The sequence below is a fragment of the Homo sapiens genome, chromosome 6 (assembly GCF_000001405.40).
Source record: "Homo sapiens chromosome 6, GRCh38.p14 Primary Assembly".
Classification (NCBI taxonomy): domain Eukaryota; kingdom Metazoa; phylum Chordata; class Mammalia; order Primates; family Hominidae; genus Homo; species Homo sapiens.
In genome coordinates this window covers 83,876,029-83,892,106 of record NC_000006.12, presented here as the reverse complement: position 1 = coordinate 83,892,106, position 16,078 = coordinate 83,876,029, and the positions used below count along the sequence as shown (strand labels likewise).

Sequence of the window (16,078 nt, the reverse complement as noted above, 5' to 3'; positions counted from 1 at the left end):
ATTTAGAAGAATTTTTTCCCATTGTTTAATGCTCCAAAATCCAGAGACCAAAAACGTGAGTGGTAATGATTAGGATCAGAATTACTCCCAATAGGCTTTTTTAAGACAGAGGATGCCTCCCAAACAAGAGTTCCAAACTTTCTCTACAATCAAGTCCTGACTGGAGTTCTACAGTTTCTCAAGAACAAGAAATCTACAACCCATGATCATTTGTGATGGAATTCCACGAGTTTCAGCAACCAGCTCTTCTGGTAGCTTAAATAGCTATCCATGATGAGCACATAAAGCCTAAAACATTCCATACATGTTCTCTGCTAACCTGCTAGCCCTTTACATTGACCCTTATACTGTCACAATCTTATCTTTCTTTCTGATAGGGGCTAGGATCACTCCGTGGACGTGAGTAGTATCCCATGCTTTCCAGACGAAAAAAACTAGGAATGTCTATCCCTTACCACAAGGAATTAACACTGTTAAATAGTGTCTCAGTCCAAGATGCTTTAGATCAAAAAGCACTTGGCTGTGTTAGTAATTTGCTAATTATGAAACTTAAACCTAGCCCCAAAACAGAACAGGTGCATTTCTTCTGATTCAGAGGCTCTTCTTTGCTCTTTCTCTCCTTCCTTATCTCCCTTTTTTTCCTTCTCAAAAGTATTTCTGAACAACTAAAAACTTGGACCCCTGGATGTGGCAGAGAAATACAAACATAAAAAAACAAACTTTATGCTTTTTCTTCGTGCTTTATTATACAGGTGTACCTCAGAGATATTGCAGGTTTGGTTCCAGACCACTGCAGTAAAGCAAATAAAGCAAGTCACACTAATGTTTTGGTTTCCCAGTGCATATGAAAGTTATGTTTAGGCCAGGCATGGCGGCTTATGCCTGTAATCCCAGTAGCTTGGGAGGCCGAGGCAGGAGGATTGCTTCATGCTAGGAGTTCAAGACCAGTCTGGGCAACATAGTGAGATCCTGTCTCTACAAAAAAACCCTAAAAATTAGCCAGGCATGGTGGAGTGTGCCTGTAGTCCCCCTGCTACTTGGGAGGCTGAGGTGGGCGGATCGCTTGAACACAGAAGTTTGAGGCTGCAGTGAGCCATGATCATGCCACTGCACTCCAGCCAGAAAAAACAGTGAGGCCCTGTCTCTAAAATAAATAACAGTTATGTTTACGCTATATTGTTGTCTATTAAGTGTGCAATAACATTATGTCTAAGACAATAATGTACATACCTTTATTAAATATACTTTCATAAAAATGCTAATATCATCTGAGCCTTAACTGAGTTAAACGTTTTGCTGGTGAAGTGTCTTGCCTTGATGTTGATGGTTGCTGACTGATCAGCATGTTGGGTGCTTAAGGCTGAGGTGGCGGTGACAATTTCTTAAAATAAGTTGACAGTAAAGTTTGCCCTTCAACTGACTCGACCTTTCATGAGAGATTTATCTGTAGCATGCCATGTTGTCTAACAGCATTTTACTCACAGTAGAACTGCTTCCAAAATTGATGTCAATCCTCTCAAACCCTGCTGTTGTTTTACGAACTAAGTGTATGTAATATTATAAATCCTTTGTTGTCATTTCAACAATGTTCACAGTATCTTCCACCAAGAGTAGATTCCATCTCAAGAACCACTCTCTTTGCTCATCCCTAAGAAGCTACTCTTCATCCATTCAAGTTTTATCACGCAGCAATTTCAGTCACATCTTTGGGTTCCACTTCTAATTCTAGTTTTCTAGCTGTTGTCACATCTACAGTGACTTCCTCCACTCAAGTCTTGAACCCTTCAAAGTTACCCATGAGGGCTGGAATCACCTTCTTCCAAACTCCTGTTAATGTTGATACTTTGTTCTCTCCTCATAATCACAAATGTTCTTAATGGCATCCAGAATGGTGAATCTTTTGCAGAAGATTTTCAATCTACTTTTCCCAGATCCATCAGAGGAATCACTATCTACAGCAGTCATAGCCTTATAAAATGTATTTCTTAAATAATAAAACTTGAAAATCAAGATGGCTCCTGGATTGATGGGCTGCAGGATGGATGCCGTGTTAGAAGGTGATATAGTTTGTATATCTGTCCCAGCCCAAATCTCATGTTGAATTGTAATCCTCAATGCTGGAGGTGGGGCCTGGTGGAAGTTGTCTGGATCATGGGGGCAGATCTCTCATGGCTTGGTGCTGTCTTCATGAGAGTTCTGAAGAATCTGGTCATTTAAAAGTGTGTGGCACCTCCACCCCTCCTCTTTCTTTTTCTTGCTTCTGCTTTTGCTATGTGATGTGCCTGCTCCTGCTTTGCCTTCTGTCATGAGTTAAAGCTCTCTAAGACTTCCCCAAGAAGCTGATGCCAGCACTGTTTCCTGTATAGCTTGCAGAACCATGAGCCAATTAAACCTCTTTTCTTTATATATTACCTAGTCTCAGTCTCAGGTATTTATTTACAGCAATGCAAGAACAGCTTAATAGAGAAGGCATGACGTACAGTGCTATCAGACCTCTTGGGTGACCAGTTGCATTGTCAATGAGTAGTAATTTGAAAAGAAACTTTTTTAAAGAGCAGTAGGTCTCAACATTGAGCTTAAAATATTCAGTAAACCATGCTATAAACACTGAGGTACTGTCATCCAAGCTTTGTTGTCCCATTTATAGAGCACAGGCAGGGCAGACTTAGCATAATTCTCTAGGGCCCTAGGATTCTTGGAATGGTAAATGGACACTGACTTCAAGTCACCAGCTGCATTAGGCCTTAACAAGAGAGTCAGACTGTCAGACTGTCCTTTGAAGCTTTGAAGCCAGGCATCCCCTCTCTAGCTGTGAAATTCCTACGTGGCATCTTTAGCCAATAGAAGACTATTTAATCTACATGGAAAATGTGTTGTTTCGTGTATTCAACTACATCACTGATCTTAGCTAGATCTTCTAGATAACTTGCTGCAGCTTCTACATCAGCATTTGATGCTTCACATTGCACTTTTAAGTTATGAAGGTGGCTTATTTCCTTAAACCTCATGAACCAACCTTTGCTAGTTTCTAACTTTTCTTCCACAGCTTCCTCACCTCTCTCAGCCTTCCTAGAATTGCAGACAGTTAGCATTCTGCTCTAAATCAGTTTTGGCTTAAGAGAATGTTGTGGCTGGTTTAATCTATCCACACCACTAAAGCTTTCTCCATATCACCAATAAGGTTGTTTTGCTTTCTTATATCATTCGTATGCTTACTGGGATAGCACTTTTAATTTCCTTCAATAACTTTTCCTTTGCATTCACAGCTTAGCTAACTGTGTGGCACTAGTGGCATAGCTTTCAGCATTTTTCAGCTTTCAACATGCCTTCCTCACTAAGCTTAATCGTTTCTAGTTTTTTATTTGAAGTGAGAGATATACAACATTTCCTTCACTTGGAACACTCAGAGGCCAATGTAGGGATATTAATTGTCCTAATCTCAATATTGTTGGGTCTCAGGGAATGGAGTGGCCCAAGAAGAAGGTGAGACAGGAATTGTCAGTCAGGGGAGTAGTGAGAACATATACATTTGTCCATTCAGTTTACCATCTCATATGGGCTCGATTTGTGGCACTCCAAAACTATTACAATAGTAACATCAAGATCACAGATCATCATAAGAGATACAATAATAATGAAAAAGTTTGCAAGAACTATCAAAATGTGACACAGAGACATGAAGTGAGCACATGCTCTTGGGAAAATGGTGCCAAAAAGTTGTTAGACACAGAGTTGCCACGAATCTTCAATTTGTAAAAAATCCATTACCTGCAAGGTACAATAAAGTGAAGCACAATAAAACAAGGTATGCCTGTACTCTATTTGTACTATATATGGCTTCTAGAAATAAAATCTCTCATGTGTAAGGTTCTAGCCTTCTATGAGTTCCACCTGGTTTTTAGAAACTAATTTTGAAACCATCTAAATTTTCCAGTGATGCAATTTTATTAAGTTATTCCCACATCTCTAATTGCTCTGGTCTGGCAGATCTGAGCATCCAATTACTCACTAAATATAAATAAATAATAATTATGGGCCAGCAGATATAATCTCAAATTGATACTAGGCTATTAGTGAGTTCTGCAAAACCTAAATCCTAATAATAATTAACAGCAAAAATGGGCTTAAACAGATTCATGAAACACCAATCCTCCATGGTGTAAAACTGGACTGTAAATAAGGACTCCTGGTCACAATCCAACTGGTATTTTTAGATCATTGACATGGGTGCTCTTCAGTGGCAAAGGGGGGATTTAGGGAGAATATCTATCTATCCATCCATCTACCCATCCATCCATCCATCTATCCATTCACCCACCCACCCATCCCCTCCTTTATGCTGATACTTTATTTTTGTGTGTGTTTTGTTTTTTAAACTCTAACCAGGAACAGACCCAAAAAAGGACTGACTGAGAACTGTTCAGAAGAGCCACTTATTAAAACTAAAATACAACGGTTGTATTAGGAAGGTATACTCCAATGTTTAAATAAATCATTTTTAAATGCCCTAGCAATATTAGGGGTACACTGTATAGCTAATTCATCATAGCAGAGAGGCAGCACAATTTAAAACACATATTCAGAACAATAACTACACTGAGTTTCTCTAGGCAATGTACTGGTAGTACCTGTTCTTAATATCTTTTCATACTAAATTACCTCTTTTGTGTTATATCTGGAATTCTGAGCTCTCAAACAAGTTCTCTGAATAAAAATTACCCATTTTAAAATTACCATTTAGTACTTTGTGTTGTCAGAAATGTAAACTTCAAAATCACAGAATGATAGTCTTAAAGACTAGGAGAACTTTAAGGCAATTTTTAGCCTCATCCAGCACAGGCTTTATCTCTATAATATCTTACAGACAAAGCATCATCCAGCATCTGCTTGAACAGATCCAGTGCCTAGTAGCTCACCACTTTTTTAAAAAGCTCAGTTCAAGGATATCATTTTTTTACCTAAAAACGAATATTGCCTTTTTATACAGAAAGAATTCTTTCTCTCTTGAAAGACACTGCCTATAGTTTTTCATTTGTGCATTTTATATTTATTTGTTTTCAATTTAACCCCAATTGCCTCTGATAAAGACTGTGGGCATCCTACAATAAAATATTTAAATTCAAGTTTGTGAAAGTCTGTGTGTAAAAACTTAAAAACCCACAACAAAATGTGTATTAGAAAAGAAAGTATACCAATTGTCTAACCTCACTAACAGCGTTACTGTGAGCATTTAATATAGTCCTGAACTTCCTAGCAGCCAAAGCCAACAGAGGCACTAGTAACAGTGGTCTCATTATCTAATTTTAAAATTTATTAAAAATAAAACAAAGAAGACTTGCTAGCTCATTAGTTCTTTAAAAGGGAGTAACTCTTGATATTGTGAAGAATTATGAGTCCTCATAAAGGGAACACTAACCACATAACAGATATTACAATTTAACAGTACACAGAAACATCCTTACATGGCATTACTCCCATCCACCCTACCCCTAGGTAACCACTAGTCTACCTTCTGTCTCTATAGATTTGCATATTCTGGACATTTCATACAAATGGGATCATACAATATGTGGTCTTTGTGACTAACTTCTTTCAGGTAGTATAGTGCCTTCAAGATGCATCCATAATGTTGCATGTATCAGTATTTTTTCTTTTTAGGGATGGATAATATTTCTTCTATGGATATACCACATTTTATTTATTTATCAGTGGATGAGCATTTGAGCTGGTTCCACTTTGCTATTGTTTAAATATTTGTCCCCTCTAAAGTTCATGTGGAAATATAATCCCCAATGTGGCAGTACTGAATGGTAGGGCCTTTAAGCGATTGGGTCATCAGGGCAGATTCATGAATTAATGGATTAGTGGGTTCATGGGAGTAGGACTGGTGGCTTTATGAAAAGAGGAAGAGAGAACTGAGCTTGCATGCTCAGCCCCCTTACCATGGGATGCCCTATACTGCATTGGGACTCTTGCAGGGAGTCCCCACTAGCAAGAAGGCTCTCACAAGATGTGGCCTGTTGACCTTGGACTTCTCAGCCTCTATAACTGTAAGAAATAAATTCCTTGTCTTTATGAATTTCCCAGTTTCAGGTATTCCGTTATAAGCAGCAGAAAATGAACTAAGGCACAGTTTTTGGCTATCATGAAGAATGTTGCTATTAACATTCATGTACACGTTTTTGTGTGGACTTATATTTTCGTTTCTCTTGAGTATATACAACTAAAAGTAAATTTGGTGGGTCACAGAGTATTCTATATTTAACCTTTTGAGGCACTGCCAGACTGTTTTCCATTCTTACCAGCAATAGTTAGAGGTTCCAATTTCAGAGAGCTCTTTTTTAGTCACTATTCCAACTCTCCACAGAGAAGAAAAGCCATCTATAAAATCTGAATCACATCACAAATAGCTCAGAAGACCGAATTCAGAACTGGATTACAGCATGCTCCAACTTAATCTCACACCCAGCTCTATATGATAGGGTTTGGTTAAAGGTAGTACAATGCAAGATTAAAGCGACATTTTATACCTACTAATCTATCTTCCAGATGAAGTTCCCACAAATTTTCAGGTTAGGTAACCATACATGTGAACCATAACGGCTCACCAATAAGGAGTGAACTGTATCACCATGGTTCAGGCCACACATCCACTAATTAATAATTTTTCATTTCTTCTTTGTTTACTTCTGAAAGTCAGAGAGTCTCAAAATATGGTCTAGGGACTCCTGAGGGAGCTTAAGACCTTTTTGGTGGCTCAAGGTCAAAAATTCTTCATAGTAATACCAAGATGTTATTTGTCTTTTTCTATTCTCATTCTTTCACAAGTGTAACATTTTCAAGATACTACATGACAAATAAGATAGAATATCGAAGATGCCATGAGAATACAGTCGTCATCTATTAAGCCACACATTAAAGATATTTGCCAAAATGTAAAACAATGCTACTTTTCTATTTTTCATAAACATAGGTACTATTTATAACATATAGTGGGCTCATTATTTGTAAAATTATTTTAAAAATATTCTTTACATTTCTTAATTTTTGAAAGATAAATATCAATAGATATGTCCTAAACAATAGTCCTTGGAGTCTTCAACAATAAAAGAGTAAAGATATTTTAAGACCAAAAAGTTTGAGAACCACTGCTTTAAGTAAAAGCGTTATTTCCGTGATAAGATTAAAAAATAATTTTGGGTTTTGAAATTCAAACAAATATTTAATTCTAAAAGCCCCACATTATATTCATTCAACAAAAATTCATTTAATGCCTATAACGTATATACCAAATATTATGCCAGTATACTGTAGCATTCTTGCAATTATTCACCACTGTTCATTTCCTGTCTATAAAATAAACGAGGAGAAAAGATGTGTTCACACGATAAAATTATGGCATATTTCACTGTATTGAAATGCACAGGTCGATTGTTACAATTACTGTGACTACTTTGCCATCTTGTGTTCAGTAATGAAATTGCACATTATTGTAATTACTTCCTGTCAACTGCTGAGGAAAGGTGTTAAAATATGCAACTGTAGTTAAGGATTTTAATTCTACCCCTCAATTCCATCAATGTTAGCTTCATGCCTTTTGAATCTTTTCTATCACAGGCATAAACAGTTTTCCTAATGAAATGACCCTTTTTATCATTATAAAATGTCTATACCTCTGGTAAGATTCTTTGCCTCATAATCCTTTTTATCAGATACTAATATAGTCCAACCAATAATAAAATTTACTAGCTGGATAGCATACTTTTTCCCAAACATTTACGTTTAGCCTATTTGTGTTTTTAAAGTATACCTCTTATAGACATCATGTAGTCAGGTCTTGATAATACATACATCTACACATGGGTGCACACAAAGAGATAATCTCTATATTATCTATAATTAAGATAATTATCAATAGATAATTATAATTACATGATAGATAATTATTATAAACTATCATTTATAATAGTTTTAATTAGAGTGCTCGATTCATTTACACTTAATTATTAATATGGGAGATTTTACTAATCTCCCTCCCAGCCCCAAGTTTTCTGTTATATGTCTCTGTTTCTCTTTCCCTGCCTTCTTTTGGGTTAACCAAACTTTTTTTAGAATTTCATTTAATCGATTGGCTTTTTGGCCTTCCTCTTTAAATTATTTTTTAAGTGATTGTTCTAGGAACTGTAGTATATATCCTCAACTTTTACCTGCTTACTTAAGAGTTAATATTGTATGCCTTCCCACGTAATATAAGAACCATTTACTGCTCTCTAACTCCTATCCTTTAACTCCACAATACAATGTTATAACTTTTAAAGTCATGTATTTTTTATATGTATTTTTATAAAATGAAGAGGACAAAAAGTAGTATTTTCTCTTACATATTTACCACCTCCTAAATATCTGAACTTCTATCTGGTATCACTAACTTTCAACCTGATGAATGCCTTTTAGCATCTATCTTATATTGCAGATCTACAGGTAATAAATTTCCAGTTTTGGTTTATCTGAAAAAGTCTTTATTTCATCTTTATCCTTCAAGAATTCTGTCTCCCTACGGGTATAGAATTCAGGGTTGATGGTGTTACTTTTCCTTCAGCAGTCGTTTTTATTATTTCCTAGTGTGTTTTCTCTGGCAGCTTTCCAGATTTTCTCCTTGTTAGCTTTTAGCAGTTTAGGATGTGCCTAGATGTTATTTTCTTTGTATTAATTATGTTTAGATTTGCTAAGCCTCTGAATTTACAATTTATGTCTCTCACTAAATTTGTAAAATATATGGCCACTATTTCTTCAAATATTTTTCTGCCCCATTCTTTCATTCCTTTCCTTCTAGAATTCCAATGACACATTTATTAAACATTTTTATTTTGTCTGACAGGCCCCTGAGTCCCTGTTCATTTTATTTCTGATAATTTTCCTCTCTGTTCTTCAGATTTGACATTTATATTCATCTATCTGCAAGTTCATTAAGTCTTGTCTATGTTGCCACCAATCTGCTATTAAGCTCATTCAACAAATTTGTTATTTCATGTATTTTTCAATTCTAAATTTCTATTTTTTAGTTTCTATTCTTCTGAGAGTTTCTATTTTTTATTCATTATATCCATACTTTCCTTTGTTTGTTTGCTTTTTTGAGATGGAGTCTCACTCTGTCACCCAGGCTGGAGTGTAGTGGTGCAATCTCGGCTCACTGCAACCTCTGCTTCCAGGGCTCAGGTGATTCTCCTACCTCAGCCTCCCGAGTAGCTCAGACTATAGGCATGGTCTAATTTTTTGTATTTTTAGTAGAGACAGGGTTTCACCATGTTAGCCAGGATGGTCTTGATCTCCTGATCTCGTGATCCACCCACCTCGGGCTCCCATACTGCTGGGATTATAGGCGTGAGCCACCACGCCGGGCCTGTATCATATATTCTTTTACTTACTTACTTAGCACAGTTATAAATAGTGCTTTAAAATACTTGTGAACTAAGTTCAACATCTGGATCATCTCAGAGTCAGACTCCAATAACTGCCTTTTCTCTTGAGTATATCTAGTAACTTTGGATTATATTCTGACCTTATAAATATGTTGTAGAAACTTTGGATTCTGTAATATTCCTGCAAAGATTATTGACTGTTTTAGTAGGCAATTAACTCGACTGGACACAACTCCAAACTGGTTCCCCTTTGCTGGGGTGAAAAATGAAGCCTCTGTTCAACGTTTTCAGCCTTCAGGTAGCATAGAGTCTGTCCCGTATACAAGATTTAGACAGTTTATACCCTTCTCTGAATCTTTTTCTGGATCTTCTCCCCTTCCAGTTACCGCAGATGCCCCAACTTCTGACATCTAGTTATTCAAGCCAGTAAGACTTTGAGTCTCCACCTGAGTTTTCACCTTCACAGCACGAACACACACACATAACCTCAAGTTCAATGCCATAAGAAATGGGAAACTCACACAGTGACATCCCTTCTTCTACATATAGATGACTGTTCACCAGTCATCTTCACCAGTTTTGATTGTTCACCAGTATCTTTAGATAGTATTTTAAAATATGTGGTCTGAGTTTATAGTTGGCATTTGTTGGAGTCTTGATCTAACAGGAGATAATCAGCTATAATCACTGAAACTCTGCATATTATTTTAGAGCACTCGGCAATAAAACTTTCCAACTTCAATGAAGACAAATGGAAAATAAATTAATGAAAGACAAATTGATTTTATAATAATTTAAAGTAAATGTGGTATCGGTATATTCAAGAATGTTAACTAAAAAGGCTTAAAAGCTGCTAGGACAACAGAGAACTTAGGACTTCCGAATTAAAAGCATTCATTTGTCTCCCACATGCTGAAAACTTTCTAAAATGGCTGTAAAGGATAAATAAGACATAAAATCACAGAGCTACAGAAATCAGAAGAGATGACAGCAACTAAGTTCTGGAAGCCTGAAAACCAAACAGATGAGTAATAACATACTTAGAAGAATGAAGAAAGGTGAAACTAAAGCTTATGTATAAGGTGGAGAGGAACTTCCATAAAAAACAATTTGTTCAACAGAACCCCCAAAAGGTACAGGAATTAGATTCCAGGCAGCTCCGAAAGTCATAGTGTAAGAAGTTATCGAATTCAATACAAGAAGCAGTATGAGGCTGGGTGTTGTGGCTCATGCCTGGTAATCCCAGCACTCTGGGAGACCAAGGAGTGGTGGGCTGCTTGGGGACAAAAGTTTGAGACCAGCCTGGGCAACAAAGCAAGACGCTATCTCTATAAAAAATTTAAAAATTAGCCAGGTATGGTAACATGCACCTGTAGTCCCAGCTACTCAGGAGGCTGAGGCAGGAAGATCACTTGAGCTCAGGAGTCTGAGGCTGCAGTGAGCTGGTACTGCACCACTGCACTCCAGCCTGGGTAACAGAGCAAGACCCTGTCTCTAAAGAAAAAAAAAAGAAAGAAAAAGAAAAAAAGGCAGTATAATCCCCAAATCCTCTGTGGCATATCTCACATAACCAAGGAACAACCCTCTTACCCAACCCTATGAGAAGTGTAGGTGTGCTCTCTGGAGAAGATAAACCAGAGAGACATTACACTCAGGGAAACAGACATACTTGAAGTGAGGAAATAGAATGAACTAAAAACAAGAAGCAAAGAGACTGCATGTCAAAACATTATGATCTACCTCCTACCACCACCACCCATTCCTAAACAGCTCCCAGGACACTTATTTGCAGATGACTGTAGGATTCTTCTTAGTGAGAGTAGACCGGCCCAATATTGATGCCAATGCAGGAGGAGAAATATTTTTAAATACTACCTCCTTAATAAACAGAATGTGATAAAGGTCTCTAAGCACTTCAGAAGATTAACTAGGCATAATTATCAAAGATCATCTTATGTGACGTTATTACTACTTGGAAAAACAGCCCTGACATTTAACTAAATGGAAATTGACCAGTAAAAGCATAAAAAATTAATCAGTAATCTAAGCAATCAGTTACATACTAAATGTTTTGAAAAAAAAATTATAAACTTCTCCTAGGGAGACTAGAAGTCATTAGCAATAGCCACATTTACAATAATTAAATCGGATTTACAACTTACATCAATATTACACAAGTATTCTCTTTAAAAAAAAAAATCAGTTTCCCTGCCTTCCTCCATGTCTTTTCAACTTCATGGGTTCATTTTCCTGACTGTCTATGCCTTAGGTTTAACAGTGACAGTTAGCAGCACTTAACTACCTTTGCTGTTAGTCACCTGGATGGCAAAAAAAATTAAAGCCAATGAGTCCTTCCGCTCTTGGCTATTTCCTATTTTCCAAAACAAGTCAGCTGCAAAGATTCATTAAGATAAAATAAACTTAAGAAGTAGATTGTACGTTCCCATCACAAAGAAATGATAAATATTTGAGGTGATCAATAGCTAATTACCCTGATTTGATCATTACACAATGTATACATGTACTAAAATGACACATGGTAGCCCATAAATATGTACAATTACGTGTCAATAAAAAACAAAAATTTAAAAAGTGGGAAAACAGTAGAAGGCCACAAGAAAACACTGCTCTCACCCTTAACAACAAGGCAGACAATCCATTAAAAAATCATAAAATTTTGAGCCCATCAGAGAGGTGAGGTCATAAGGCAACCAGATGATCTAAATTCCAAAGGATGACACGCCCCTCTGAGGAGATGAACCACATGAACCCCTTCAGCTTCAGCAGAGCACAGAAAAATGAGACGTCACCACAAAACAACTGAAATTTTAACAAACTTTAAGGGCCAAGTGCGCACTAGAGCCAATTTGGAATCCCTGAGAACCTCAGACACAAGGGGATTCTGTCCCCACTTGCCAACTCTTTTTTCATAATCTTTCACCTCTTGAGATGCTCATGAGAAATACTATAGGCAAAGCAGACACGAGAAAGGCCCACTGGTAGCACAGCTGTGTAATATCTGCAGCAAGATTAGAGGGTAGTGCAAGAGTACAAAGAAAAGTCCATCCATAGTTTAAGGCCTACAGGAGTACAAGGTGTTAATGAGCTACTGCCAGGGTAAAGGGAAAATTTCACCCATACCACAGATCCTATCTGGAGGCAAAAGCCATCTATTGATGGAAAGGGGCAGTAAAGCCTCCCACCACCGGTCCCTGTACTGACAGGAGGCAAATACTAACTGCTGCTGGAAAGAGTGTAAAACACACACGCTCCCTTATCCTGCACTGACACTAGGCAAATGCTAGCTAAATACTGGGAAAGAACAGAAAATGTACTCAGACCCAGATTCGGTGTGAATACAAAACACTGATACTCTCACACTGGAAAAGAGACAGGGAAACTGCTCACATCCTAGACCCTTTGCCCTGCCCTCCCCACCTGATACAAGGCAAAGTCCAGCTGCCACAAAGGGAAGAGGCTCATGAAACCTGCCTGCATTCTAGATGCTGCATTGAGTACGATGCAGGAGTTATCTGCCCTTGGGGAAGTACAAAAGCAATGAGAAAGCTCAGCCCCTGGGGCTCAGGTGCATAAAACCTGTCTAAGACTGAGGCTGAAACAGGAAAACTGCAAAACCCCTTCTGCCCCCACTACAAGTCTTACACCAAGTAATAAGTAACAGCACTGCCTTTTGGAGAGGGGGAAGAGCAATGGAGAAAGATCCTGCAAAGATATATAGGGTAAGGTGTCAGCTAAGAGTAGAACAAGAACAATGGGGGAAAAAAACCCTCTAGCATTGCAGGCCCTGAATTAAAACCAAGGTAGCAGTGGCCCACCACTGGAGGAATTTGAAGTCTGTGGTACACTGATGGTAACAATAGCAAAATACACTCCAAATCTAGCTCAACTACTTACTAGATTGATTCAACCTAACTACCTGCCAGAAAAAAAAAAATGTACTACATGTCTGAGTGTAAATACCACAGTTTCTATTATTCTTCTATATGTAATGTGTGACATTCATTCAAAAATTACAAAACACGGCTGGGCGCGGTGGCTCACGCCTGTAATCCTAGCACTTTGGGAGGCCGAGGCAGGTGGATCACAAGGTCAGGAGATCGAGACCATCCTGGCTAACACTGTGAAACCCCGTCTCTACTAAAAATACAAAAATTGGCCAGGCGTGGTGGCGTGTGCCTGTAGTCCCAGCTGCTGGGGAGGCTGAGGCAGAAGAATGGCGTGAACCCGGGAGGCGGAGCTTGCAGTGAGCCGAGACTGCACCACTGCACTCCAGCCTGGGTGACAGAGCAGGACTCTGTCTCAAAAAAAAAAAATTTACAAAACACATCTTTTTTAAAAGATACAACAACTCATTGTCAAAAGAGAAAACAGCAACACAACCAGAATGTATTGGAACTATTAGACATGTCAAAATACCTATGATTGATTTTTTTTTAATCTAGTGGAAAATGTGGATGACATCTAACAGATGAGAAATTTCCAGCAGAGAGATGGGAACCATAAAACAAAGTCTAAAGGAAATAGCAAATTGAAAGACATGATATTAGAATGAAGAATTTCTTTAATGGGCTTATTGGCAGACTGGAAATAGAGGAAAGACTCTGCAAACTTAAAGAAAGAGCAATAAAAATTATTCAAACATAAACAAAAGAGGAAAGAGTGAGATAATACAATGCTGCATCTAAGAGCCCTGGGACAATATAGGCTAACATGTTTGTAACTGGAATCCCAGAGGAAGATGCAAAAGAAATATTTGAAGAGATAATGGCTGAAAATTTCCCAAAATTAATTTGGAGAACCCCAAGCAGGAAAAATACAGGGAAAACCATATCATAGTCAAACTGCTAAAAACCTAAAAGAAAGTCTTAAAGGCAGTCAGAGAAAAAAGAAATCTTACTCGCTGCTATGATTTAGACATTTGTCCCCTCCAAACTTCATGTTGAAATTTGATCCCCAGTGTTGGAGGTGAGGCCTAATGGGAGGTGTCTGGTTCATCGGGGTAGATCTCTCTTGAAAACATTAATGCCCTCTTTTGTGGGTGAGTTCTTACTCTATTAGTTTCTGTGAAAGCCGATTGTCAAAAGGAGCCTGGCACATCCTCCCCCACCCACCCACTCCTGCCCTTCCCCCTCTCTCACCATGTAATCTTTGTACACGCTAGCTCCCTTTCATCTTCCTCCTTGAGACCCTCACCAGATGCAGATGCCCAATTTTAAACTTTCAAGCCATCAAGAATCACGAGTCAAATAAACCTTTTGTCTTTATAAATTACCCAGCCTCAGGCATTCCTTTATAGCAACATAAAATGAACTAAGACACATACTATGGGAAAAAAAGAATGATGGTAGAGTTCTCATCTATGCAAACTAGACGATAGGGTGACATATTTAAACTGACGGAAAAAAGAACACTGTCAATCTAGAAATGTATGCTCAATGACAATATATCTTTAAAATGAAGGCAAAATAAAGACATTTCAGAAAAAAAGTGAGGGAATTCATAGCCAACAGACCTGCACTATAAAAAAATGTTAAAAGGGCTGGGTGCGGTTGCTCATGCCTGTAATCCCAGCACTTTGGGAGGCCGAGGCGGGTGGATCACAAGGTCAGGAGATCGAAACCATCCTGGCTAATGTGGTGAAACCCATCTCTACTAAAAATATAAAAAATTAGCCAGGTGTGGTAGCACACGCCTGTACTCCCAGACTGGGGAGGCTGAGGCAGGAGAATCCCTTGAGCCTGGGAGGCGAAGGTTGTAGTGAGCCAAGATCGTGCCACTGCACTCCAGCCTGGTGACAGAGCAAGACTCTGTCTGAAAAAAAAAAGTTAAAGGAAGTTCTTCAGCAGAAATCTGGATCAACAAAAAGGAATAACAATCACAGAAAATGGTAAAATGTGGGTAAACATAAAATATAATTTTTTAATTATCTTTATCTCTTTGAAAGATAAGTAACTGTATAAAGCAAAAATAGTAACATATTGTGGGGTTTTCAGCTTATATAGAAGTAAAATGAATAACAACAACAGCATAAGGCACAGAAAAGGAAAATGGAAGTATATTATTAAAAGGTTATTATACTATATGTGAAATAGTATATTATTTGAAAGTAGACTGATACATTAGAAATGTATATCATAAACCCTTAGAGCAGCTGCTAAAAAAAAAAAAGCAAAGAAGTATAAAAAATAATAGTGGAGAAAAAATGGTTTCATTAAAATATAATGATAACTATGTCAACAATGGATGAATCCAGGCAGTTGAAGAATTTATGGAATTCACTGCATCACACTTGCAACTTTTTTGTAAGTCTGAAACTTTTTTCAAAATAAAATACTTCATTAAAAAGTATTTAATGACAAAAATGACCCTTAAGAAATCTTCAATATTTACCCAATCCCCACAGTGTGCAAAGTCTACAAAAGAAAATACAAAACTATACAAAGGAGAGAAACCATATGAAACCTATCAGGCTGTTGCTCACATTTGAATTGATAGACCATGAATCTATATTAGAGAACTGTCCAGAAATAACGAAGTTTCTTATTAAGGAACTAGTATATTTCCCAACTCCAGGAGCCAACAATATGGAAACACGAAACATGGAAGTCCCTCAGCTGGGTTCTATCTTGTGATAACAT

At 37.6% G+C, this 16,078-nt stretch overlaps 2 protein-coding genes across 5 annotated transcripts in view, besides 1 other annotated feature; both read right to left on the bottom strand.

Moving 5' to 3' along the window:
* The window catches only part of RIPPLY2-CYB5R4 (RIPPLY2-CYB5R4 readthrough), a 114,064-nt gene that overhangs the window by 75,317 nt on the left and 22,669 nt on the right, over window positions 1–16,078 (bottom strand). The window lies entirely within an intron of this gene.
* Window positions 1–16,078, bottom strand: part of CYB5R4 (cytochrome b5 reductase 4) — a 107,735-nt gene that overhangs the window by 75,317 nt on the left and 16,340 nt on the right. The gene's annotated exons all lie outside the window — the stretch shown is intronic.
* Window positions 7,422–7,491: a silencer, noted in NCBI's record as "silent region_17362". NCBI's record gives its function as "represses an Ori minimal core promoter by ATAC-STARR-seq in GM12878 lymphoblastoid cells {active_cell/tissue: GM12878}" and the evidence as "EXISTENCE:reporter gene assay evidence [ECO:0000049][PMID:35858748]".